Source organism: Homo sapiens, chromosome 1 (assembly GCF_000001405.40).
Source record: "Homo sapiens chromosome 1, GRCh38.p14 Primary Assembly".
Lineage (NCBI taxonomy): Eukaryota > Metazoa > Chordata > Mammalia > Primates > Hominidae > Homo > Homo sapiens.
Genome location: NC_000001.11, coordinates 215767342 through 215793117, shown reverse-complemented (window position 1 = coordinate 215793117; position 25776 = coordinate 215767342). Strand labels below are relative to the sequence as shown.

Sequence of the window (25776 nt, the reverse complement as noted above, 5' to 3'; positions counted from 1 at the left end):
TAACATATTTGAAGTATTAATAATATTGTGAGTAAAAATTTTTTCCTCCACTATTTTCTCAGTTGTGTCCAATCAATGGAAACCATTGGATATATATACAGTTTAGAAAGACAATATATGCTTTTTCATCTGAAAAATAAACACCTACTAGTTTAATGTGTACTGTACCACTTTACTAACATCTGCATTTTGTTCAAAGACACACTCCACCTTTTGTACAAATTTAATGAAGAGGCTCTGGAAGAATGGACCAATCCATCAATAATGCATGACCTATTTTGTTTTTCTTTGGGCATATTTAAAATCGTGCATTCCGTGTGTCAAAGTTCAAAAGTCAAGTGCTACATGTGATAAATTAGGTAGGGGTCGAAAGTTATTGCAATGCAGTTTCGGAAGATTGTCTGTCTCTGAATTTGCAGCTCATTCATGCTGAAGTGATGCACTATGGGAATTACTACCAAACTCTGCTCCGCAACATCTGCTCTCCCTAAGTGAGTTAGTGCACGTCAGACATCTTTATGTCAGAATATTGCAGTGATGGATGCAGTCTTCAGAAAATGCTGCATAAAAATCTGGTGTGCCGTTCTGGCCATTAAGTGAAATTACTATTTAAATTAATGGCACTGTCACAGTTTATCTGTGCAAAGAATGAACGCTGATTAGGGTATTAAGTAATTAGCAATTTATCACACTGGAACAAGGTTGATAATAATTAAAGAAGTAATGGTTTACCAAAGAATCTAAAAAGGGAGTCACTTCTTGTTATGTGAGTGAAATCTTGGCTGAAAATTTCAATTCAGTAATACAAAGATGAAGCTCTTTGTGAAAGAAGGCATCTTTTTTTTCTAGTTTAAAAACAGTTCATTATCAAAATTTTAGTTGACCTGTCAGAAGTCCCTCAGAGTGATCAGATGACTGATTAGGAGTTTCAAATTAGGTCAATGTCTGCATTTTTATTTTATACTTAAAGCATAGTGAAACCATGAAGTAATTTGGGAATGAGAGGGGGAGAATATATTCCGCTCCCTAAAGGGCCAGTTTTCAAATTTTGATTGCTCTTTAAAAGAGAAACATGAATTGTCTTCAGAAAACTGCCAGAGAAAAAATTAACAGTAAAAAAATCCATGGTTGTATTTAAATGTCTAATCAGAAGGGGCAGAAAAATGCCCGAACAATATAAAACTTGAAGCTACGGATTTTTCTTTTTAGTTTATGTGTGTGTGTACACTCATGTATGTATATATTTATATGTATTTGTGTGTGTATATATACACATACATATGCATACATACATAGCTACACACACATAAATATGTGTATTTGGGTATGTACTTATACATACACACATATATACCCACCATAATCCAGACTCAGACTAAAATGAGCCCTGCTCTTTGTATTAATTTGAGATAACTTTTCCTAGAAATGTTAAAACCACTAAAATTATAAATATAGCAGTTAATTTGTAAACCAATTACTTCGAAGAGTTATCACATTAGATAAACATGGTATGCCAAAGCTCTGTTAGAATCAGTGTATATCATTAATCATAAATAAGAGTTTTTAATATTAGAGACTTTTGTAAGTAAAAAGATGAATGAGAGGGTTCTTTGGAGTCATGTGTGGATAAACATCTTTCTTAAGGCATGTGCCAAACCAATGTCTACTTTCAATGATTTTTTTTAAAAGCACTTTTGATCTTTTATTTGAGTGTCTTTAATAATGTAGATGTTTACACAGGACCAGATTAAACAATTCAGGACCCCAGGGCACTTTGAATTTGAGGTTCTTTATGTTATCAGTCGGAACTAATAATAAACAAACAAAATTCCAATTAAAATAAATCATTCATCACATTGTGCTGCTATATAACTGGATATAAATTCTAATATAAAAACACTGTGACATGCAGTATAGCCACCTTGATTTCTAGCTTGATCTGTCTCTAGAGTAGTGTTAATTTATTCCTGCTTTAATGTTAAAATTTCTGCCATTTCTCTTTGATGGCAATATCTAAATGATGCAAATGCAGGTAATTAAACTAAATTTGGTGGGAGAAAATGTCTATTTGGTATCTCAGGTACGTGTGTCTTTCGTTTAGATGTGGGGATCAGTGATCCTCTCTACAAGGTCTTTCTGCGGCTGCCCCCAGCCTGTCACCTGTGTCTGTGATGGGTCTAGAACAGAGTGAGGCTCAAAAAATAGTGGCTGATTAGTGCACCTGATCAGTGAACATGCTCAGCTGATTATGAATAAATACCAAATCCATCTCATGCAGAAAACATGGTTACCATTGCAGCTAAATTCACAAGAAACAAATATTTGTACCCTAAATAAAGCTAAGCCAAAACTTGCACTGCTTCTCCCGCAGGGCTTCCAGTTCTAGGATGGTGCTACCTTTCCACTCTGCCTGGGCTTTTATCCCAGAGTACTTGGGTGACCTTTTCTCCCTTATGAATTTCTAGAGCTTTCTCAGAGTCCCTATAGTTTAACTAACCTTCTTCTGCAACAAGATGTTATCATCACAAAATGCGCAGGCAGTTTTCATGACAGAAATCCTATCTCTTTTTATGGAGCATGAGAGAAGTTTGGCCCAGCTGAATGATTTTCGAACATTTCCTCTTGTGTGTTCTTTTCCTAATTAGTGTCTAGTGCTCTTGGTAAGAAGGACCCTCACTGCACATTTAAATCACCTTGGTAGGGAAATGCTACCTTAGGTATTGCACCATTTCAGCAACTGCCTGAGCCTGACATTTTTATACCAAACTTTATAGCAGCCTCAGTTTTCTTCCCTTTTTCTATTTCATATTCATATATAACATTTTATTGTTGCAGGTATGTTCTGTTGTGGGCAGGATTATGTGAATATGTCAGATACCATATGCTGCTCAGCTTCCAGTGGAGAGTCTAAAGCACATATTAAAAAGAATGACCCGGTGCCAGTAAAATGCTGTGAGACTGAACTTATTCCAAAGAGCCAGAAATGCTGTAATGGAGTTGGATATAATCCTTTGAAATATGTTTGCTCTGACAAGATTTCAACTGGAATGATGATGAAGGTAATTGATAGAAAAGCTCTCGGAGGCGCTGATTTGACAATGGAAAGAGAAATACATTGTTCATAACTATTTTTCTAAAATAGGAATATAAAAACTCCTGTGTGCATTATTCATTTTCACATTACATCCATATTAATACCGAATGAGTTCGCTATGATTGATGTTATTGCAATGAATTCTAAAGGAATTAATAATGATTAGCTGTTCTCAGGGAAGCTTTACCCAGCACTTCAGATTAGTGCAGGACTGAAAGTCTGTGTGCCACTGAAAGAGCCAGCACAGGTCGTCTGGGGCCTCTGCATGGTGCCATTTCATGCCTGGGAGCACTGTGGATGGAGGCAGGAGGAAATTCCCGCTTCTTCTCCCTAGCCCGCCAGCCATCATCCACCACTTTCCTTTGATAGAGACCTTAGATCCAGCAAATTCGCTTAGTTGCATTTATATCATATTCCCTTGGACAATGCAAGATGAGCAAATGCCTGTGTCAAAAGTGAATGAATAGGCTTCTGGGTGTAATCGCTTATGTTTTTGTATGGTGATGGTTTGTACACAGCCATGTCATGTATGTGGGTATTAAACTTGACCCAGGATACCAGAAGCCTATCAATTTAAGGAAAGGACCATGGACACTTTAAAAATAAACATGCTACCGTGTTCTGTAGTAATTTGTCATTATAAGACCACTAAAAATGGGTGTCTTGGTCACAGACAATGGAAGGACGCTTGTTCAATGAGGCAACTACACAGTCCTTGTGTAGACCACATACACTTTGTACACTTTGGGATGTAAAATAACTCATGAGATTGTTAGAAGCCCTGCAAGCACTTTGTATCAATGAATGATTAAGATAACACATAAGGTTGGTTAAATTATTCTAATGAGGACAATATTTCTCCATGCTGAATCAAGTAGTGTGTATACATAATAATGTTCAGTCTGTAGGTTTCATTTTGTTTTCTGAAGACCTACCACCTGGAGACATTTATATCCTGTTCCAGTCTGGAATGGATCACCATGGGATTTTTACATAGCTGGCCCATTCGGTCTTCCCTAAGCTATCAATTCAGGAATTCCTTTTACCTCTTTCCTGTGTTGATTCCCCTGTTTTTTTGTTTTGTTTTGTTTTGTTTTGTTTTGTTTTGGATTCCAAGTTTCATTCCATTTGGAGAATTATCTTCTTGTATATAGATGTATGGAGGGTAAATTTTTTAAAAGCTTAATGTATAAAAATACTATTATTTTACCCTCCAACAGGATTGATAGTTTGGTCTGATATACAATTCCAGGTTAAAAATTATGTCTACTCAGAATTTTGAGGCATTTCTGCATGTTTTAAGCTTCCATTAATATTTTGATTCCTATCTCTCTGTTGGTAACCATGTTTCTTTTCCTATGAAAGCTCTTGAAGATGTTCTCTTTATCCTGCTCCTCTAAAATTTCATGACAATGAACCTCTATGTGGAAGTTAGGATGGTTTCTTTTTGCATTTTGTTTTCCATTTTTGTGATGAGAGCATTTAGGATCTACTCTCTTAGCAATTTTTTTTTTACATTACAATTCATTATGAGTTAGGCAGTTGTCTTCCAAGTAACATCTCTAGAACCGAAGCCCCTTACATCTTGTGATGCTTCATGCAGCCCTTGGATCATAATGGAAAAGGCGCAAGAGGGGACAATTGCACACAGACAGTTCCTACCTGGATATAGAGTACATCCTTTCTATGCACTAGTCACACAGACATATCTAGTCAGGTGGCTTCTCCTACTGCAGCCAGGTTTCAACATCCCATGTTCCCAGAGAGAAAAGGGAAACATGGACATCACTGAGCACATTGCATTGTCTCTGCCACATTCATCTACTTTCCAGCTTCCAAAAAGGTATGCACTGTCTTGTGTGTATTATTTTTCTCCATTTTTTCTTAGACTTTCAACACGTAAACCAGTATTTTACTGTCATTTAGTTGGGCTTTTAGAGGATAGATAGATAGATATAGATAGATAGATACACACACATACACACACACACATATATATATAGTGGGATTCTATTTATGTAGTGTCATCTTGGCTCACTGCAACCTCTACCTGCTAGGTTCAAGCGATTCTCCTCCCTCAACCTGCCAAGTAGCTGGGATTACAGGTGTGCGCCACCAAGCCCAGCTAATTTTTGTTTTTTTAGTAGTGACAGGGTTTCGCCATGTTGATCGGTCTGGTCTCGAAATCCTGACCTCAAGTGATCCACCCACCTCCGCCTCCCAAAGTGTTGGGATTATAGACATGAGCCACTGCGCCCAGACCCACTATATATTTTTGAATGTACTATTTTGATCAACTTGGTAAGAATAATTCAACTTATTTTATGTAAGAGAGAGGCTGAATGGAGATCAATTTTAATAGCAAAAAGTATTCTAAATACATTATGCTACTTATGTAAAGGAAAGGCAAAGTAGATCTCCACATTATAAAACTATTACCTTACTTATAGCTCTTGTAGTGTGGGATGATTAAGTATTTAATTTCCTTGGATTAAAACAAAGTGGTACTTATCAAAAACCATAAAAAATCTGGAGATGTGTCAGAGAAAATGTTTATAAGCGTAAATAATTATAATTACAATGACAGTTCATGAAACATTTATATTTTTAAAAACTTGGATCAGTAATACTTCTAATGGGACCAACTTCCCCAACAACACAGGAAGTGTAAATTCTCAAATATCACATTCTTTATTTTCTCTAAAATTCCATAGGAAAGTATCAAATAGCAAAAATAAAATATTTGTAGTGTGTATACTAAGTTTAAAGACTTATCAGTTTTGAGTCACACAACAAACCTTGGTGGTAAATTATATGATTTGAGTCACACAACAAACCTTGGTAGTAAATTTTGTCTCCATGTTCCCCACTGAAGAAGCTGAGGTTTTGAAAACATAAGTGACTTGCTCAAGGTTACAGAGCTGGGAAGCTGCAAAACTGAAATTTTAATCCCAATTTGTGACATTTCAAAGTCATTGTTCTTCCTAGTATACAAACTGCCTTCATTTCTTTTTATAAATTTTGAAATATTCATTCATCAAGTAAGTGGAGGAAAAATTTCATTTGAAAGTCACAAAAGCCTACCCTATGTATGTCTAAATGAAATTTTTAAATACCCCTCTCTCTCTCACCCCTGCCACTTGACTCAGGAAACCAAAGAGTGCAGGATCCTCTGCCCAGCATCTATGGAAGCCACAGAACATTGTGGCAGGTGTGACTTCAACTTTACCAGCCACATTTGCACTGTGATAAGAGGGTCTCACAATTCCACAGGGAAGGCATCAATTGAAGAAATGTGTTCATCTGCCGAAGAAACCATTCATACAGGGAGTGTAAACACGTACTCTTACACAGGTAACAGAAAGCAAGCTGTCTGCCCATGGCTTAATGGGGTTAGTGAGAAGCTGCTGAAAATGCAGATTTATTTCACTCTGACATCAACTCTCCTTAAACTGATATCAGTACATTCCATCATACTTTGAGGCCAGCTAGTTACAAGGTAATTAAAGGCATAATCTGGATGTATTCAAAGTCAGTACTTTAAAATGTGTTAAAGTCTATTTAAACAAGGTTGTATTCCATATTAAGGTAAATCTGTGGAGATATCTGTGACCTTTACTGCTATATCCAGTTAATTTACAATAAATCCAATTTCCTTTTTCAAAAGCTGCAATGCAGCTTCCACTGAATGCATTGAATGAATACTGCTATACTCTTAAGCAGAAAGAAGGATGAACCTGTCTGATTAATAATAAAACCTAACAGTGCTACTCTGAGGATGAGGTAAACCCAAGCATGACATTTCTCCAAGATGGCTGGTCATCTCCAAAAGAATAACCTTTGCAGTTATTGTAAATATTAATTTCTATGTACCATCTTGGCCCTGCTGAATTAGTCCAAAATGGTTATGCTTAGTTTTGGCTGAGCTGTGTGAGAAACACTGTTAAGTTTAGAATTATCTCTAAAACAGTTCTGCCATCAATTAAATTTGTGTTATTCATCCATTTACTTAAGTCCCTACAAAATGTGTTCTTGTTTTTTGAAAAATCAAGTTTGTGTGTGTGTGTGTGTGTGTGTGTGTGTGTGTGTGTATCATCTATCATCTTGATTCAATAGAATCCATTTAAGTGACATAATTTGAGCAAGCTAAGGTTAATAAACAAGCAAAACATTGCTCCATTCCATCATGAATCATCAGTCTGCTTTACTCAACCAAGGGGCAATAATGGCTAACCTCAAGAGTGCAGAAAGTAAGGCAGGCTACTAAGATAAGAGGAGGAAGATTAGGAAGGGAAGAAAGGAACAGAGATAAGGTTGATTGAACATTATTTAGTCTCAATGTTATACTAGGTACTTTAATTTTTTTATTATACTTTAAGTTCTAGGGTACATGTGCACAACGTGCAGGTTTGTTACATGTATACATGTGCCATGTTGGTGTGCTGCACCCATTAACTTGTCATTTACATTAGGTATATCTCTACACTAGGTACTTTAAAACCTTATCTCAGTTACCAACAAAGCAATCATATAAATATGGTCATTTAACAGATGAGGAAACTGAGGGTCAGATCTGTAAAAGTTACTCGCCATGAGAAAGAAACATATTCAAATAATGCCATCATCAAAAGGGACAGACTTTGAAGACTCCACGTGGTGCAGGAGCTCCTTTCAGAGTGCTCCAAATGCACTTCAAGCTGTTATTCCACCTGAAATGTCCTCCTTTATCATCCTACTCAAGGCCTAGGTCAAGATTCTTTTCCTCAATGCAGTCCCTGTGCTGCTATGGCACATTGTTCACAAAGCTCACTAGCTCTCTCATGTGTCATATGGATTTGGACACTTGTTCCAGCTCTTCTATTAGATTGAAACATCCTTATGAATAGGGCATTTTTGTTTACCTTTGCCTCGTTATTTGGATTTAGAACACTATACAAACAAAAAATATTTCTTGGAATGAATTTAATTAGGAAAGGCCTCAGATAGAGGACAATTTGTCCAACCTTCTATTGTGTTCCCAGTCCCAGTTATAGATTTAAGTCATGGACTTTCATTTTTAAATTATTGAGTTTCCATCTAAGAGAGTTCTCTACTTTTATCTGCCCCTTGTAATCAAGATCAAGATTTTGAAGGGCTTTTAATAAATACTTGTAATAGCCCTCTCCAGAAGTGAATAGATGTTTCCACCTACTGATATAATGTTATGAGGGCTTTTAAAATCCATATTTCAGATTGCTTTGCCTGCAGAAAATACTACAAATTGAATATGAAAAATAACAAACTGTTCTTTTTCATGAAAGATGTTCAGCACACAAGTGGTGCTATGATAATTCCATTGAGAACAATTTAGATTAAGTCAGACTCTTTTAGAAACTTACACTTGAAAGCTGACAATACCAGTGCTGACAAAAATTTATTCATTTATGCAATCATTTATTTATCAAAAATTATTTATTAAATACCTACTAATAACTAGTCACTACATTAGGACTAGCAGCTATGATGACAAACAATAATTTTTCATTGAGATTTCAACCCTATATGAAGAAAGAAGGAAGCAGCAAATGAGATTTGAAATGGTAATGTGGGCTTGAGGATACAGAATAACAGTCATTACCAATAAGTAGTTTAATTTGCTGTAGCAGAAATGTAAAACATATTGACCATCTGAGGGTAGGTAGATGGTCTAGGCAACTGAATCGCACAAGGTCATTCAGGTATCCAGAATCCAGAATGGCAACCGAAGGTATGCAATTTTCTCTTTATAAAATGATGTGGAAGTTGTCAGTGTCTTTCTATACTCCTTCAAGTATTGAGATCTGAGTCATGTGACCACTAGAAGCTACAAAGAAAACTGGCAAATGTGGTTTTCTAAGCAGGAGGCCTCTGACCAGGATGGAAGGGAGAACTGGGGACTCATGGTTGCCATCACAGGCAACAAGTGGCAGATACCCCCGAGCAGAAAAAAATGGAAAAGGAAGATAATGCTTTACATTTGTAGAGCAATCTGCATTTTATGAAGTTCTGCCCCATAATTTATTGCATTGTATTTTCATATTAGTTCTATACAGTGGGCAGGGAAGGGTTTATTGTAAGGAGATGTATATAAGGAGAATGTCTCTCCATTAATCTAAGCATAGAGACTGAGAATTAACTCCACGTCCAATGGAGATGAGCAGGTGGCCAGGCAGCCAAGGAGGAAGGCCTCCTTTTCTGATGCTCAATCTGAGAAAGAGTCATCCAGAAGCTAACACACAAAAATACATACATACTTACTTAAAATTCATCAAATTAGAGACATGGAAAATAAATTTAAATAATTAAACTTTCAAGTAAGTTTTTCAGGGGAAATGTGTAGCATTGGTATTTCCGAAGTTATTAAAGCCTAAATGGAACTAAGACTTTGGGGACACAACTGAATCACATGAGTGTTCATCTAATACAATTTTTGCCAGTTTGGAAAGCTCAGCAGGCTTGGTTTTATTGTTTTAATAAAGTTGGTTGGTTTGTATTTTGGTTTTCAGTTCTGGCTTTTGTGGAAGAGGGAAGGAACTAGATAGCAGAGTATGCTTTCATTTTTATTCACTAACATGGTACCATGATAAACTAAGTTTCAAATCCTGTATATTGTAACAACATTATAATCCATATGATTTAAAATTTTTTAAGTAATATTAACAAAGTAACAGAAAGCAATAATTTATAAGTTCTATGATACTAAAACTATAAAAGAATGTTGCCAAACCTGTCTCATGTAGGAATCAAAACTACATGAATTTGTGAAGCACTAAATCTTATTATACATGATTCCAGTGCTTTTATTTTTCATTTATTTAATATATCCCTCTTTCTCTGCTCAGAAACAGGGAATTCTATTCTGTGCAATTCCGTATCCCTGCATCTAATAAATACTTTAAATGTTACTTATATTTAGAAAATAAAGATATTAGAGTTTTATTTATATACAAAGCGTTTAGAGCATTAAACATTTATTTTTAAATGTCTAAAGTTTTTGATATTCACTTTTAATATGATGGTTAAAAAATGAAAATAAGAGAAACTTCCCTGTCTATTTTTTCTCTTTCCAGATGTGAACCTCAAGCCCTACATGACATATGAGTACAGGATTTCTGCCTGGAACAGCTATGGGCGAGGACTCAGCAAAGCTGTGAGAGCCAGAACAAAAGAAGATGTGCCTCAAGGAGTGAGTCCCCCTACGTGGACCAAAATAGACAATCTTGAAGATACAATTGTCTTAAACTGGAGAAAACCTATACAATCAAATGGTATTGAGATACCTTTAAAATACAAATAACAAAATCCCATAAATTCATAAGAAAATTGAAATGAGTACAATCTACATTTAATTGCCCTATGCATCTAACCACTAGAAAAGTATGTTCCGATAAAGGGAACTGTAATTATGTGACAACTAATCACTCACTTTGTGGTGTAGTCCTCGTAGATTTTTAGCCTAAATAAGTAAAAAAATAGAAATGAAAGTTCCTTGAATCCCAGAATATATCTGAGCTGCTTTCAAAACAAGCAAGGCATATTCAGAGAAGGGGAAAGAGTTTTAATATTGAAAGTAAATTTGTTTCATAGTGAAAGGAAATAAACATAAATGACTCTTATCATTTATGTCAAGAATCCATCTCCTCCATAATAGTATAATTAGGAACTGCTTGAGACAGCAATATAATAGGAAATTAAAATTAAATAAAGCTATAGTATTGCATTTCTTCCGAACACTAAGATTTGTAAGTTGTTTGCAAATAGTTAAAATGATATCACATTCAAATGCAGTCATTTTTCTGCTTCTTTTAGGTCCTATTATTTACTACATCCTTCTTCGAAATGGAATTGAACGTTTTCGGGGAACATCACTGAGCTTCTCTGATAAAGAGGGAATTCAACCATTTCAGGAATATTCATATCAGCTGAAAGCTTGCACGGTTGCTGGCTGTGCCACCAGTAGCAAGGTAAGAGGAGTTTGCCTAAACTCTGGGAAAAGGGGTTCAGTGTGAAGATTATCTGAACATCCAGGTTGTGACTGCTTTTTTCATTGAAGAAAACAATGTCCCTCCTCAAAGTGGTGTTAAGTAGCGTGTTCATGTGTCACGTTAACTGAGTGCTAATACCTATGGCTGGAAGGAGAGATCATTTCAAGGGAGATTTATCCAAATATCAATCTTGTGTTAATGAAAAACAAGTGAAATCTTGAAGCAGTACCATCTTTTCTTCCACATTCTTTCCTCACCAACCAATTTTAGGTAATCTATAAATCTATAAAAATGTCCAAATCATTATTCAGTTAAAGAAAGTTTCTATTTAAATATGATATGAACAAAAATTGTCTGATTTTAAAAAATGAAGAGAAGGGCAAAAAAGCCTGGCACGGAAAACAAAATTGTTCCAAGCCTTCTGCTATAGCCTTGTCAAGAAATAATGAAGACCTGAATTTAGGCAGCAGAGGTCAGAACCGAGAATACAGAATGATACAACAGACATGGGGGATAAAATCTACAAAACTTGGTACTCAATTATATTTACAGAAATAAAAGGAAAGAGTCACGGATATTGTCAAATATCTGCTTGAGTAATTTGTGGATCATGGTGCTATTCTGCAAGCAAATTTTTAAAAAAGAGAAAAATGTTGAAGGTAAAAGAATAGGATTCTGTTTTGTTAAGTTTTGTAAAAAATATATTTAAAGAGAAGGATCAGATAGCAGGGTGGCGGAAGCAGATAGTACTTGGCACTTTATGTGAAAATATCTGGTCAGAAACCAGATTGAGAGGTGACTGAAGTTTCTAGAAAGATCTGTATGGGAAGTTGAAGTAATGAGTATAAATATGGACATGGAAGGAGAATAGAGAGAAACAAATATGGAATATTGTGGATGATGAGCACTGGGGAATGCTACCAAATGAAAAAGAAAGAAAAGCCCACAAAGAAGACTGGAAATAAACAATCAAACAATGTGGGAGTAAAATAAAGAAAGGGACATTTCATAGAAGCCAGCCTTGACAGAGGAAGCCCAGGAGGAAACAAACTTACACAGAGTAGCTCTGATTCTTTTCATATGCTTAAAACTTTAGAAGAGCAACATCTTTGCACACTGTGCAAGAGCCATCCAAATGAAACATTCAGCCACACTGCTCAGCCACAGTGCAAGAATGCAACATTTTGTTCAACAGACTTCTGGAAACCTTTCTGAGTGAGCCACCATTTAGATAGATAGATGGCAGCTGATTGGCCCAGTCAAAAGTTATTAGTCCTAGAACAATTCCATGCTTTTTGCATAGGCACACTTCATGCCTGCTACATGCAAAGCAATTGTTTACAAAGTGAAAAAAGTTAATTCTATGAAAGAAGCCAATTTTTGTCCAAAACTATGTTTTGACAATATTGACTAAGTAATTGATTTATTTTTTTCTTCTGACTTGTTTCTTTCTTTAGAAAGTTGGTGCAGACACTATAAAGTCATCCTAGGTATCATGGGAAGAGTACCGAAATGTCTGCCCATTTATTCTGTTCAAAGCATATTGTATGCAAGCAAGTTCAGATGTGGCTTTTGCTCCATATTTACTGGTGCTTAAAATGTATGAAATCAGGCTGTTAAAATGCAAAGACACTGATGGGCCATATGGAAGAGAGTTATCAAGAGTTCTCTAGTAAGACAGTCTGCCAGCCAGATTTTACTTGTTTAAACACTGAGGGCTGCACTCTGCCGTCAAAATTGTTGTTGAACCTGTTGTGATAAATGGTAGTGTGAGACTTATGTAATATATTCAAGGTCAGATTTCATTGTTTAAATAGGTTGGGAGGGAAAAAAATGAAAAAAAAGGGAAATGCTTCTCCAAGCCCCTGCTAATGATATGCCAGGCCAGACAACATTTTAAAACAAAAGTGACATTCTCATTGATCAGGATAGCTAGTGCACTATTACAATAAATTGCTGCTTAATTCCTACGTCTTCAGGTAGTTGCAGCTACTACCCAAGGAGTTCCGGAGAGCATCCTGCCACCAAGCATCACAGCCCTAAGTGCAGTGGCTCTGCATCTGAGCTGGAGTGTCCCTGAGAAATCAAACGGCGTCATTAAAGAGTACCAGATCAGGCAGGTTGGGAAAGGTCTCATCCACACTGACACCACTGACAGGAGACAGCATACGGTCACAGGTGAGAAAACAAAAAAAAAGGAAATCCTACTGGAGGAGTCTGTCATTGTGGTTAGGGGGGCAAAGCATCCCAGGGGTGTGTGTTTGATATATGAGGTCACTTCGAAAGGACGTGTTCTCTTGACATATGGTCAGGTCCCACTTATCCATGCTAATAGAAGAGCCCACACTGGCAGCAATACGCCACAACAGCAGATAACTTCAGAAATAATTTATATTTGGCCTTGATATGCATTATGTGAAGGGTTTTTGCATCAGTATTAACTTTTTTTTTCAAACAAACAGTAAGATGCATTTTCATTCCCCAAGGATATACTCATAGTTAATGGGACTAAGATAGCCAAGAATATACTGGAAGGCAGGGGAAAATCAGCCAGAGGTTAACATTTGTCTATCAAGTGGATAATTAATACACAGGACTAGTTGACAGTGGAGTCATTGTGACTGTTTGTTACTATTAGGAATGTTAATTAATAGCAATTGTGTTTTTTTAATTTATTATAATGTTTATTATCATTAGCCTTAATAATATACTATTAGTACAGTACAATGATATGTTAGATAATTGCTAGTAGTGATTATGATAATAATTAACAGGTTTTAGCTTAAATGCCACTTCTGAAGGGAGGAGAAGCATTTTCTGACTTACTTGCTCGAATAGGTTCTCTAACACACCACCACATCACTTTGTTTTATTTCCATCATAGACCTCTCACTGCCTGATATTTTAGTGTTTGTTTTTTGTCTTTTTATGTCTCTCCACACTTGAATGTAGGCTCCAAGAGAGCAGGAACCTTATCTACTTGTTCAGTGTTGTACCTCTAGCACTTATAGTCCTGAACACATTAATAGGAGCTAAATAAACGTTTGGGGAAGAAGGGAACTTAATATGTGCCAGACGCTGTCCTAAGCACTTTGAGTGCACTATGCAATTTGATTCTCCATCACCAACCTAAGATGTACAGTGAATTACTACCTTCATTTTACAGAAAAGAATACTTTGAGAAGTTAAGTAATTTAGTTCATTATTCGAGTCTACTGAATCATCCCAAACAACCCTGTTAAGTTTAAATTCTAAGACCATGGGCAAGATTGTATAAACTTTCCCTTTTTTCCCATTGTCAGCCACCTCCTTCCAAGACTTCCTGAGTGGATGACCTCCTTCCATTGGACTGCACTTTTTGCAGGGGGTGTTGATAGCACAGATAATGAAACTCACAGAAAAGTGCAGAAAGGCCTTGGAAAAATGTGACTGATTTTTCCTAAGAAGGGACACAGGTTACACTTACACAGGGTGGCAAAATAAATTCATCACTTTTCACTCTTAAATGCCACAATTCCCTAACACATAAGCAAGCATTCATTGACAAAATCTCCAGTATTTTTCCAAAAGGGCCGTAAACCTGCAGAAGGTGCTTAATACAACTCTTGGCCTGGCACATTGTATTCCTTACCTCAAGATCCTGGGCTAAATCAATGATGATAGTGTTGAGGCTGGGTGCGGTGGCTCATGCCTGTAATCTCAGCACTTTGGGACGCCGAGGCAGCCGGATCACCTGAGGTCAGGAGTTCGAGACCAGCCTGGCCAACATGGCAAAACCTCGTCTCTACTAAAAATACAAAAATCAGTTGGGCATGGTGGTGTGCATCTGTAATCCCAGCTACTCTGGAGGCTGAGGTAGGGGAATCACTCCAACCTGGGCGGCAGAGGTTGCAGTGAGCTGAGATTACACCAGTGCACTCCAGCCTGGGCAACAGAACGAGACTCTGTCTCAAAAAAAAAAAAAAGATAATGGGGTTGGGAGAAGCCCTCATATTTGAATGATCAAAATTATTTCTTTTATCTTATTTTACTTGAAGTGGAAATCATCACAAGTGATTGAAATAATGGTGTTTTACATAATAAAACCTTACTTCTATGTGGTGCTTTATCATTTAAAGAAACGTTTGCATTTTGACTTCTCTGACTCTCATCACATCCTTGTAAGAGATGTTTTTAATAATCATATCTGAAAGATGAAGAAGAAAGCCAACCTACTCAGCGTATCCAAGGCATTCACTGCCTGTATCTGAAAGGAAATCAGAATATCATTTCGTTCTCCCAAAAATGAATTGCCAGCTTGCAGTTTTCCAGATAGTACACTAAGTGGTCTAAAATAAGACTGCTGCTCTTAAGATCCTCTCACGTACAGGGAAGACTGACAAGAAAAGAAATAACTGAAAACAGAGCTCTATACAGGATGCAGTGGTGAAAAATCAAATGAGTCACTTGGAGTAAGCAATGGGATGTTAATTACAGGGTTTTGAAAAGCAAGTTTAGGCACATTAAGACTGTACCAGCAAAGGTTTCACAATAATTGTGATATAAGGCTAAAGAAATTTCTTCTTGTAGTATCTATCAACTTAACCAGCATCAGCTTCGAATTGTTGCTACTTTATTGGTTTGCATTTTTTAGAAATCAGCATTTATACACCAACAGACCAAATTCAATTGTAATGTTCAAACCAACAGGATTGATAGCCTCATTAATTATAAAATAATTGCAAAGATTTTTCTCTAAATAACTTCACCCTACCAGTTCTTCCTTTCATTGACATTTTTAATGGCTATTTTTATGTCAGAGTAGATTTCATACATGTATCTTGGTGCCAGAAATCCTATTATTAGCATAAATATTTTAAGGTTTTTTAATATAATTTTAATTTTTACTTAACAGTAAAAAATCATAATCTGGTAAAAGCCTTTAGGAGTCCTTTGACCAATCTCCCTGTTCTACTTTTGATTTGTTTTAATTTCTATGGATATTGTTTTAAATAGATTTAGAGAGTATTTCACTTGCCCAATACAGCCCTAAAGAGGGGTTTCTTTGTAGAATAAAGAAATAAGTCCTCATTCAGCAAAACCTTACCAAGTACAGAGCCTCCTATATGTAGTTCTTTGGGGACAGGAATGGTGCTAGGCATTAGATAATCGGAAACTTGAGATCTATATAATGTTACTCATTTGCCCAGGAAAATTCAGTTCCACGGTTAGCTGACTGACCAAATGTAGTACTGAAGTATTTTATGGTGTGAATGACTGTTTTATTGAGTTCATGGAATGAACTAAAATAATCAAATTTATTTTCTGTTCCATCTTAAATGTTTGATGGAAATGCTGCCTGAACCCCCTAGGATAAATGTTTTGATTTTCTCATCATTTCCAAAAGCTTGGCATTCCCTAAGCAACACAGCACTAATAAAGCTGTAGCACTAGTCGTCCTGGAGCCTGAAAATCTAGGTCCTTAGGAATGACAGGAGGGAAAGGGAGCACCTTGCCTCGGCCCCATTGTCTCCATGCTTATTTTTAATTACCTCAAAGCTTTAGAAACATGATCCCGTAAATGCTTTGTGGGAATAGTGGCGAATGCACTCATCATGTGAAATCCATAAATTGCTTATAATCCTCTCAAGATGTTAAAAAAAGCATTAAGTAATTGAAGACAGGAAGTCCTCGGTTAATTATTTAGAGGTGTTATCAATGCTTTAAGTAAACTGAAGCGTTTTCTGCTATCTCACTGAGCTGAATACCATGGGGACGAAGGAGTAGCAGCCATCATCTTCTCATATTCGCTAATGCAAACAGCGCATGGCAGCTTGTCAATAAAAGACCTTTTCATATCATTTATTACTAAACACATCCACCATCCTGTACAGAACAATTTGGACATCAGTTATGGCATTGTTTCACTTTGGGCTACCTCTACATTATACGTAGGCCTCCTAATGTGAGTTTAGGAATAGAAGAAAGGATTAACTAAATAATTAAGGCCACTGAGAAAAAAATGAATTAGTCATGTCCTGTTTAGCATAACGTATAATAAGGGCCTATGTGTCTCTTACTCTGGAAAACTATTTTCAAAATAATTAATTAGAAATTACTCATCATTGCATTTCATTTAAAAGGAAAAACTCACCAGCATTAAATTAGCAAGGAAAGAATAATTTACTTTCGTTTCTCATCTTCCTAGAAGTTAATGAAAACTTTGTGTGCTAAATAGAACAAACCCTAACAATGCTGGTTGTAGCAGAAAATGTAATACTAATGTTATACTGAAACAGATACCTTACACTTCACCTTGGAAAAAGAGAAAACATACTTTAACCACCAATACAACAAAATGTAGAAATTCTTTGTAAGGGATTTTATTTTTAGATAACTCTGCTATGTGTTCCCATATTATCTTTGCTCTCGTAGTAATTATCACATTTTATTCTAATAGCCTTTCCTCTTGTCTCTGTTCCACACTTAGTAATAGGTAATGCTTTTTAAGTACAGAGACAGTAGCTTCCTGTTTGCCATTGTGTTCCTGGTACCTATCACAGTACTTAATATATTCAAAAAATGTTTGTCGAATGAATAAATACTGAATAGTAAACTAGTATTTGACTACATTCTGTTTTGAATGGAGATAAAAATGCCACTGTCAAACGTATCTAAATCGCAGACAGATCTGGCAACAAAATTGTGGGGTCCAGTGCGAAATGAAAATTCAGGCCCCTTGTTCAGAAATCATTAAAATTTCAAGACAATGGAAGCAGAGCATAGAAGTAAGCTCATGTGCTTCCAAGCATGGTACCGTGTTTGATTGCACAGTCGAAGCCCACAAAGCCAACCCTGATCTCCAGCAGTCTGGAATTAGCTGCAGTATATTTCTTTAATTAAAACAGATAGCAAGAAAACTAGGATGGTGATAATGTCCTCAAAAAGCTTTGGGAGTTTCTTCTATGGTTGTTTGCAATGCTCCAGGCTGCATTCCCCCCAGTTACTATGTAATTACTGACCACCAAGCACTGGGGACCTGTGAAAATAGAGATAAGAATTTGTTTTCTTTTCATTTTTTCAACTCTGAGAACAACTAAATTTGTGCCTGACCAAAAAAGTAAAAAAAAAAAAGAAAAAAAAAAGTGTGGCATCAACCACTTTTTTGTGTTTTAAAACCTGCCTATTGATAAAATATTAAGGCCAAAGAACTATAATTGATAGCTGCCTAGACAATGATATTTTTTAAAATTCCCCTTAAATCCCAGATATTCCAATGTACTTTGCCAGATACTAGTTCTGTTTTGTCACTCCAGTTCTGGCCACCCCCTTCCCTCTGCAATGTCCTCATTGTCTCACGTTTGAGCAACATCAGATTTTGCTGCCACCTGACATCACATTTTGTTTTTAGAGAAGAAAAGTCTGCCTGGAAATGCAGAGAAGAATCCTCAGTCTAGCATAACACTGAACTTGAAAGAGGAAAAGTATTTATTAAAATATTTATTAAAATACTGTCACTAAAATCAAAATATATATATCACAGATATAATTCATATTATATTTTTGTTGTTATATTTATTCCAGATATACATCAACATTAAGACTATTATTTAGACACCACCAAAGAAAAAGGGTCTTTCCTTGGTGGTGTCTAAATAATAGTCTTAATGCTGATGTATATCTAAAGAGAGTCTGCCAAAGAAGTAACTTGTTTAGGAAAGGCGTCTTGGGATCAGGAAGATATTGGAGAGAGGGGCCTAAGCTATGGCCCAGAATTTCAAATGAAATATAGAATTAATAACGCAAGTTAGCTTATAGCAAGTAGTCAGAACTAAAAGTCATGAAGTGATCTTACTGGCATGTGCAATGCAAGAGTCCCTTTGTTTTGATGTTTTGATGTTCAGTTCATATGAGGTAGCAACTGAATTCATAAAGCATGAATACAGAAAATGGACAGTACAAATGCTGCTCAATGGGGGGGAGGAAATTGGCTTGGGTAAGTGGAATGGGCAGCTGTTGAGATTGTGAAGAATGATACCATCCAGAAAAGATGGCTTTAGCATGTGAACTCCCGAAATAATCCTTAATCAAATCCTGTAAAACAAATTCTAATTTAAAGGTACCTTAGATGTCTGTAAAGTAATTCCATGATGCCTTTGTATACCAGTTTTGAACATCTGGATTTTCACAGATTGTCAGATTGATCTAAGTAGAATGCTGATATGGCTCTATCCATCACAGTCAAGATCACCAGGGGATGCTGGAAGTTCCTGGGAATCTCAGTAGGCAGAGATGCTCCGAAAGGGATCACTTAGTGAGATCCCAGGCAAGTGAGGGCAAAAGGAAGCAACATCATTATAGTTGTCTGGGTATATACTCTGGGGCTCGTTGTCTTGCGCCAAGAAAGAATTCAGGACACAGACACATGTGGGTGTGTTAAGGAGTGGAAAGTTTAATAGAAGAAAGGAGAGAGGAGAGCAGCTCCTTGTGAGAGAGAGAGAGAAAGACAGAGAGAGAGAGAGAGAGAGACAGAGAGAGAGAGAGAGAGACAGAGAGACAGAGAGACATCCGTAAAGTGGGGAGGCAGCGGACCAAAGCAGATTTTACAGGCAGGCTGGAGAAGGCAGTGTCTGATTTATATAGGGCTCACAGATTGGTTCGATCAAGTATGACATTTACATAGTGGGAGGGGAAGGCTGGTCACCCCACCCTAATCTTATTATGCAAATGGGCCTTCCAGTTGATTGGTTCCATCTTGTCTGAGCCTTACAGTACAAGTGGCTGACAAGGAGAAGGGAAGATGGAGCCTCCATCTTGAACATGTACAGTCCTTAGTTCCTGCCCACATTCACCCATGCAAGCACCCAGCTTGTTTACCTATGTCTGCAGCTCGATTTTACATGCTTGCCCTTTGTTAGAAAATTATTTGGGGCTTTTTACTAAAAAGAAAAGGCTTACCGAGGACTCCCATACCTTTACTATCTGCCTAAGTGATTTCTTCTTAACTCCTGTATCATTAGCAAGGACTGAATGTGAGCAGCCGAGGGGCCAGACCACACATCCAGTTTGGGTGAACTGGTGCCAGGACAGATGACTTACCCGCAGGATGGTTATTCACAATACTTTATAAGCACCAAACAAAAACTTTTTAACGTAACTCAGGCCTCTCAGTGCTTGAGCTAATCACTAAACATGCTGATGGAGGAACTCACTGAATTACACATCCTTTAGGACTATTTGGTAATTCTTTAGAACATAGCAGATGACACTATAGAATAATTGGCTGAATGTTTTGAAGTAGCACTTGCTATGTGAAATTATAATGGCTAAAGTGCCTTTTTTTGACTATTTATCAAGAGATTAAAAATTGGAAGCAAGCTGTTCTTTATAGAGTACATCAAATGTTAACTTTCATAGACATGGGTTTTGTTTTCCAAATCATATTTTTATGAACTAAAGGCAGACTTTTTGCAGTCCCTTTTAGCACACATTTACTCTTCAAAGTAATGTTACTTGGAAGTGTAATTGTAATGAGTTTGGTTATATTATGCTTCTTTCCTTTAAAAAAGAACATGATTCCCTGTAGGGAAATTCAGGTAATTTGCAGCCACAGTAATCTTCACTATACTGAAATGTTAAATACTTGGCTTTTCTCCATGTGTTTGCCTTTCTGTACTCTACAAGTGCTATTTCCTACTCTTCTAATTCAATGCTGAGCACTTGAATGATGTTTTCTTTTCTCCTTCTACTCTTCGACTTCAGGATTAAGTTACAGTTGGAATGGTTCCTTTGAGACATCTCTTTATTTCCCTCTTCTCATCCTGATCAATTCATGAGTAGTTTTCAATTGGTGTGCCCTTTTTATTGCCTGTTGCTAGTATGTCATATATATCTCATTTTAAGGACTACCGATAGAGGCTTACTTAAAATGACAGCAAATTCCAGTTGAAATGTGTTCATTTTATTGAGTTTTACAGAGTCGTATATATGAAAGGTCATCAGGTTCATGTAAATCATCTATGCCTGATGGTAGTTGATGCTTTCTTACAGATTATCTGAACCAAGCCTATTAGTAATCCAGTCCTCTAACAATATGAAAAATATAAAAACTAAAAGATAGAATATGGTTTTAAATTTTCTAAATTATGGATTTAGATATTGCCTTCCCTTAAATTAATCTGTAGGCCTATTAAGCAGTCTCTACTATCATGCCTACAGTTTATAGATATAGAAACTGAGGAACCTAGAAGCCAGAAAACTTCCTTGTAGTCTAGTACTTGGTAAGTAGATAAGTATTAGAACCCAAATAGTCTAATTTCAGACTGCTCTCTTAGCACAGAACATGACTCAGTATCTCACTACATGACTCATAATAATATTCAAAATGAAAATATTTAAATATATAGTCCCACTTGAATTTTTTTTTTTTTTTTTTTTTTTTTTTTTTTTTTTTTTTTTTTTTGAGACGGAGTCTCGCTCTGTCGCCCAGGCTGGAGTGCAGTGGCGGGATCTCGGCTCACTGCAAGCTCCGCCTCCTGGGTTCACGCCATTCTCCTGCCTCAGCCTCCCAAGTAGCTGGGACTGCAGGCGCCCGCCACTACGCCCGGCTAATTTTTTGTATTTTTAGTAGAGACGGGGTTTCACCGTTTTAGCCGGGATGGTCTCGATCTCCTGACCTCGTGATCCGCCCGCCTCGGCCTCCCAAAGTGCTGGGATTACAGGCGTGAGCCACTGCGCCCGGCCGAATTTTTTATATTACTGGAAATTTGACTGGGCTTTGAGCTATTTATGTCATCGTTTTTGTTATAAGGCTGGGAAGCCTAACCCAGTTGCTCTGGGCCACATTTCTCAGTGTAATTGCCCAAGTTCCAACCTTGGCCTCACCCTTTCCTTTTCTTTCTTTCTTTTTTTTTTTAGGCAGTCTAGCTACTATGTCACCCAGGCTGGAGCATAGTGGCAGGATCTCAGCTCACTGCAACCTCTGCCTCCCAGGTTCAAGCAATTCTCCAGCATCAGCCTCCCAAACAGCTGGGACTACAGGCATGCACCACCACGCCTGGCTAATTTTTGTAGGTTTTTTTTTTTTTTTTTTTTTTTTTAGTAGAGACGGGGTTTCACTATGTTGGCCAGGTTGGTCTCAAACTCCTGACCTCAAGTGATCCACCCGCCTCGTCCTCCCAAAGTGCTGGGACTAGAGGCATGAGCCACCGTACCACCGGTCCCGGCCCTTTCTTATGTCTGTGATCATAGGTACTTTCCTCCAACTTTCTGTGCCTTAGCTTCCTTATCTGTATAATGAACAAATAATAGCGTGCACAGCAGAAAGTTAGTGTGGGCGTTAATTATATTAACACCCATGAAGTGCACAGAAGAGGGCCAACTAGTAGTACATGCTCAATAAACTTTTGCTAGTATGTCATTTACATAATCTTATAACTAACTTCCTTGAAAATAACTGCAATTCTCATAAAATATATTTAGATAATGTATAGAGTCCAATGAAAAGAGAATTAAAAACAGACCAACAAAAACAAAAACACCCTGAGTTTTGTCTGTTGGGTATTTTTTTTCTTAATTTATAGTTTTTGTGCTGGTGTTTGAACTACATTCTTTTAACTTTTTTTTTTCGTTTTGAGCAACTACAGTGTATACAATTATGACTTGCCAATTAAAATAATATTAATTTTAATAAAGAGCAGCTGCAATGGTTTCTACCATTTTTATGTCTTCTAAATGCTGCTTAATCTTCAGAGGGAAGGCAGCCATTGAGTAACTTAAATACTGTTAGCTCTAGCTCTTATGTGATGGAGAACATAGAGCTTGGTATTCAGGCTTGGGTCATCTATGCACTCCTCAGTCCAGGTGAAGTCAACGCTAAATAAAGTACAAAGCCTGATAGTGGACAAATGACTGGCTTATCCAAGGAAAATGTGAGTTTTGTTATAAAAAGCAGGAACAGACCCTGGAAGGTAAATATGGCAGATGTGAAGTTGCTTGACACACATTAGCAAACATCATTTGAAATGAGCCTAAGTATTACTACCCTTTGCCCACATGGTCCATTAAACTGGTCAGCATGGCTACATTTCAGGGACAGACACAGCTCTTGAGGATAAAGTGCCAATGAATTAGAGTAAAACTGTCATTCTCCCCATATTCACTTGCAGACATGTCTCCCACTCTCATCCTCCTGGTTCTTCAATCTTTGTCTCCTTTCCTCAGTGCACCATGTTGACTCCTCTTGATTTGATAATATGTTTGAACTCCTCTGACTTCTTGACGAAGGTTTTCTGCTCAGTGCTGAGTCTGCCATTCCTCCTTGATTCTAGTACCCCAGTAGCTTCAAGAGAAGCAAATTCCTTCCACCAGCCCTACCCCCATATCCTGCTAGGTGAACCTATCCCATCTAATGTAAACACCTGTAGCAAACTCCTTTGATGCACTTTCCTCCCTCTATCAAAAATCCTTAAGGTGCTGGATGCTCTACTGCTGTACCATGCCTAAACACCTGCCTTCTCAAATTCTAGGCTGTAAGTAAAATGGAGACCACTCAACTTGCAGCAGAAAGGCTTTGTCAAGAAATGACAATTTATATTTTTATATACATTAATTTTCCTTTCAGCTACGATTCTCATTACAAATACGCTTAATCCTCTAATCAACCTTAGCAAACCTCTGTGATTATGAATTTTCTTTTTTCCCTAATGCCCATCCTAAAATTTTATTTAACAGTCACTGCATGTCTGAAATCAGACCAGCCACGACCACAATGAGGAAGATAACTGAGGCCATTGTTTTGCTCAGAATATTCGAGAAAAAAATTTAAATATCTGTTTACTTTTAGCTACCATATTTACATCTGGCATTCAGGAAAAAATCTAGAATATGTGTATTGCCCACAAATTATATTAGTTTCTGTTATTTTATTAATATTCTGCAACTAAAAAATATCTCCAACTCAATGAAATCATTGCTGTGGACAGGGATACCGATGGAATTATGAGGAAGGACCTTTTTGGTCAGGTCACATGGTGATAAACATCGTAGCCTCATATCCCTGCAATCCTTATGGGACACTATGATGGGCATGCTCTTCTTTAAGCAATATTTGTTCAACATTGAATGCCTAAAAATGGGCACTATAGGGGAAAGTGACCTCCCAAAAAGACTCGCTCAGTGATGCCATTTCTACTCTCAAAGGGCTTATATTCTAAATGGGGAAAATAAGATATTCAGGTAAAATGGTATCACACTGGTCAAGACCCCTTTTTGTCGGTAAAGAGAATGAAGGGGAGACATTGTCGAGCTAAACGAGTTTGCCACTGCAACCTCTGAGTTTCATTCTTGAATGTTCCCTTCCATTATTTTGAGCTTTACATTTTGTAATCATAGCATTTTCCGATGAGCTTTTATCAAACATATGTGGCTTGGGTACGGCTTAGATCTTTAGTCATATTCTTCATCTGTAAATCAGGTAAATATCAAAATTATGTAAATCCTCCAAAGCAACCAAATGGAAGATTGTAATCAAATAAGTGCCTGCATCTTATCACTAAGTTGATAAAAAAAATACAAAGGGCTCTGAAGCTAAACCTTGGAGCAGCTCCAGCTGCAGAACATTATTGCTTTAGCAGAGAACCCAGACTACTGCTCTCATTCTAAATGGATGAGATGGGTAATTTTTTCATTCGTTTAACGAACACACACTTTGTGCCTGTCACAATCCTAAGGATACAGATAGGCAAAACAAAGTTGTTGTTCTTTCAGAGCATACATCTAAAGCAGGAGACAAATATCAAATAAGCAAGAGACACAGCAAACATCAGAGACGGTTGAAGGCTCTGAAATAAGAAAATTATGTGAGGGGATAAAAAGGGATGGGTGGATTGTTTAGATAAAGTGGTCAAAATTTTTTAAAATGTAGTATTTGAGGAGAAATCTGCATAAATAGACAAAGTGACACATTAACATCTCTGAAGGAACAGTCATTCCACCAAAAGAACAAAATATGCGAAAATGTAGCTCAAAATACGTGAAAAAATAAGCATAACAATCATTGGATTCATCTGTAACTTAGTTCAATTATTTAACAAATAGGCTCAGTCCTGTTGTTTTAAAATACTATTTTTTTCTCAAAGAGAGCTTTGGCATTGTTTGAACTTTCCCAAGAGTCAAGAGAGAGATGTCTTGTAAGCCTCAATATCCTCCTTGTTGAATGCTGCTGAGCTTTAAAGTTGCTTCTGCTAGAATGAAATACTACTTTGAGTATCCTATTTCATCTTCTCTTGTCTGCTAGATGCTATAATGATTCCCCATTTTACAGATCAGTAGACCAAGGCAAAGAGAAGCTAAGTAACTCTAACAAGGTCACCAGCCACGCACAGAGCAGCGAAATCTAACAATATACAACTTCTATTTTAGATGGATTGTCATTCTTTTCTCCCTGAAAACTTACTGAACAATTACCATACTGCATCATATTCTGAATACGAAAGAAGTAATAAGCACCATCTCTTCTCCAAATTAGCTTTAATCTATGTGTAAAGACAAAATCAACACACCTCAAAAAAGGGCGCATTAGATACAGTGCAAGGTTTAAAAACAAAAGTGTTGGTTAGCGTTAATATGAGTTGAATATGGCTTGGGGCAAGAAAATGTTGGATCTAACCTTCTTTTTATTTTCCTGCCCGTATTTATATA

At 36.9% G+C, this 25776-nt stretch overlaps 1 protein-coding gene across 1 annotated transcript in view; it reads left to right on the top strand.

Annotated features, from left to right (window-relative positions):
* USH2A (usherin) overlaps positions 1–25776 on the top strand; it is an 800558-nt gene that overhangs the window by 630331 nt on the left and 144451 nt on the right. Inside the window, exons 51-55 of the mRNA NM_206933.4 lie at positions 2836–3059; positions 6244–6448; positions 10183–10380; positions 10922–11076; positions 13077–13275. Of these exons, the coding sequence (NP_996816.3) occupies positions 2836–3059; positions 6244–6448; positions 10183–10380; positions 10922–11076; positions 13077–13275 (981 nt within the window). The remainder of the gene's footprint in view (positions 1–2835; positions 3060–6243; positions 6449–10182; positions 10381–10921; positions 11077–13076; positions 13276–25776) is intronic.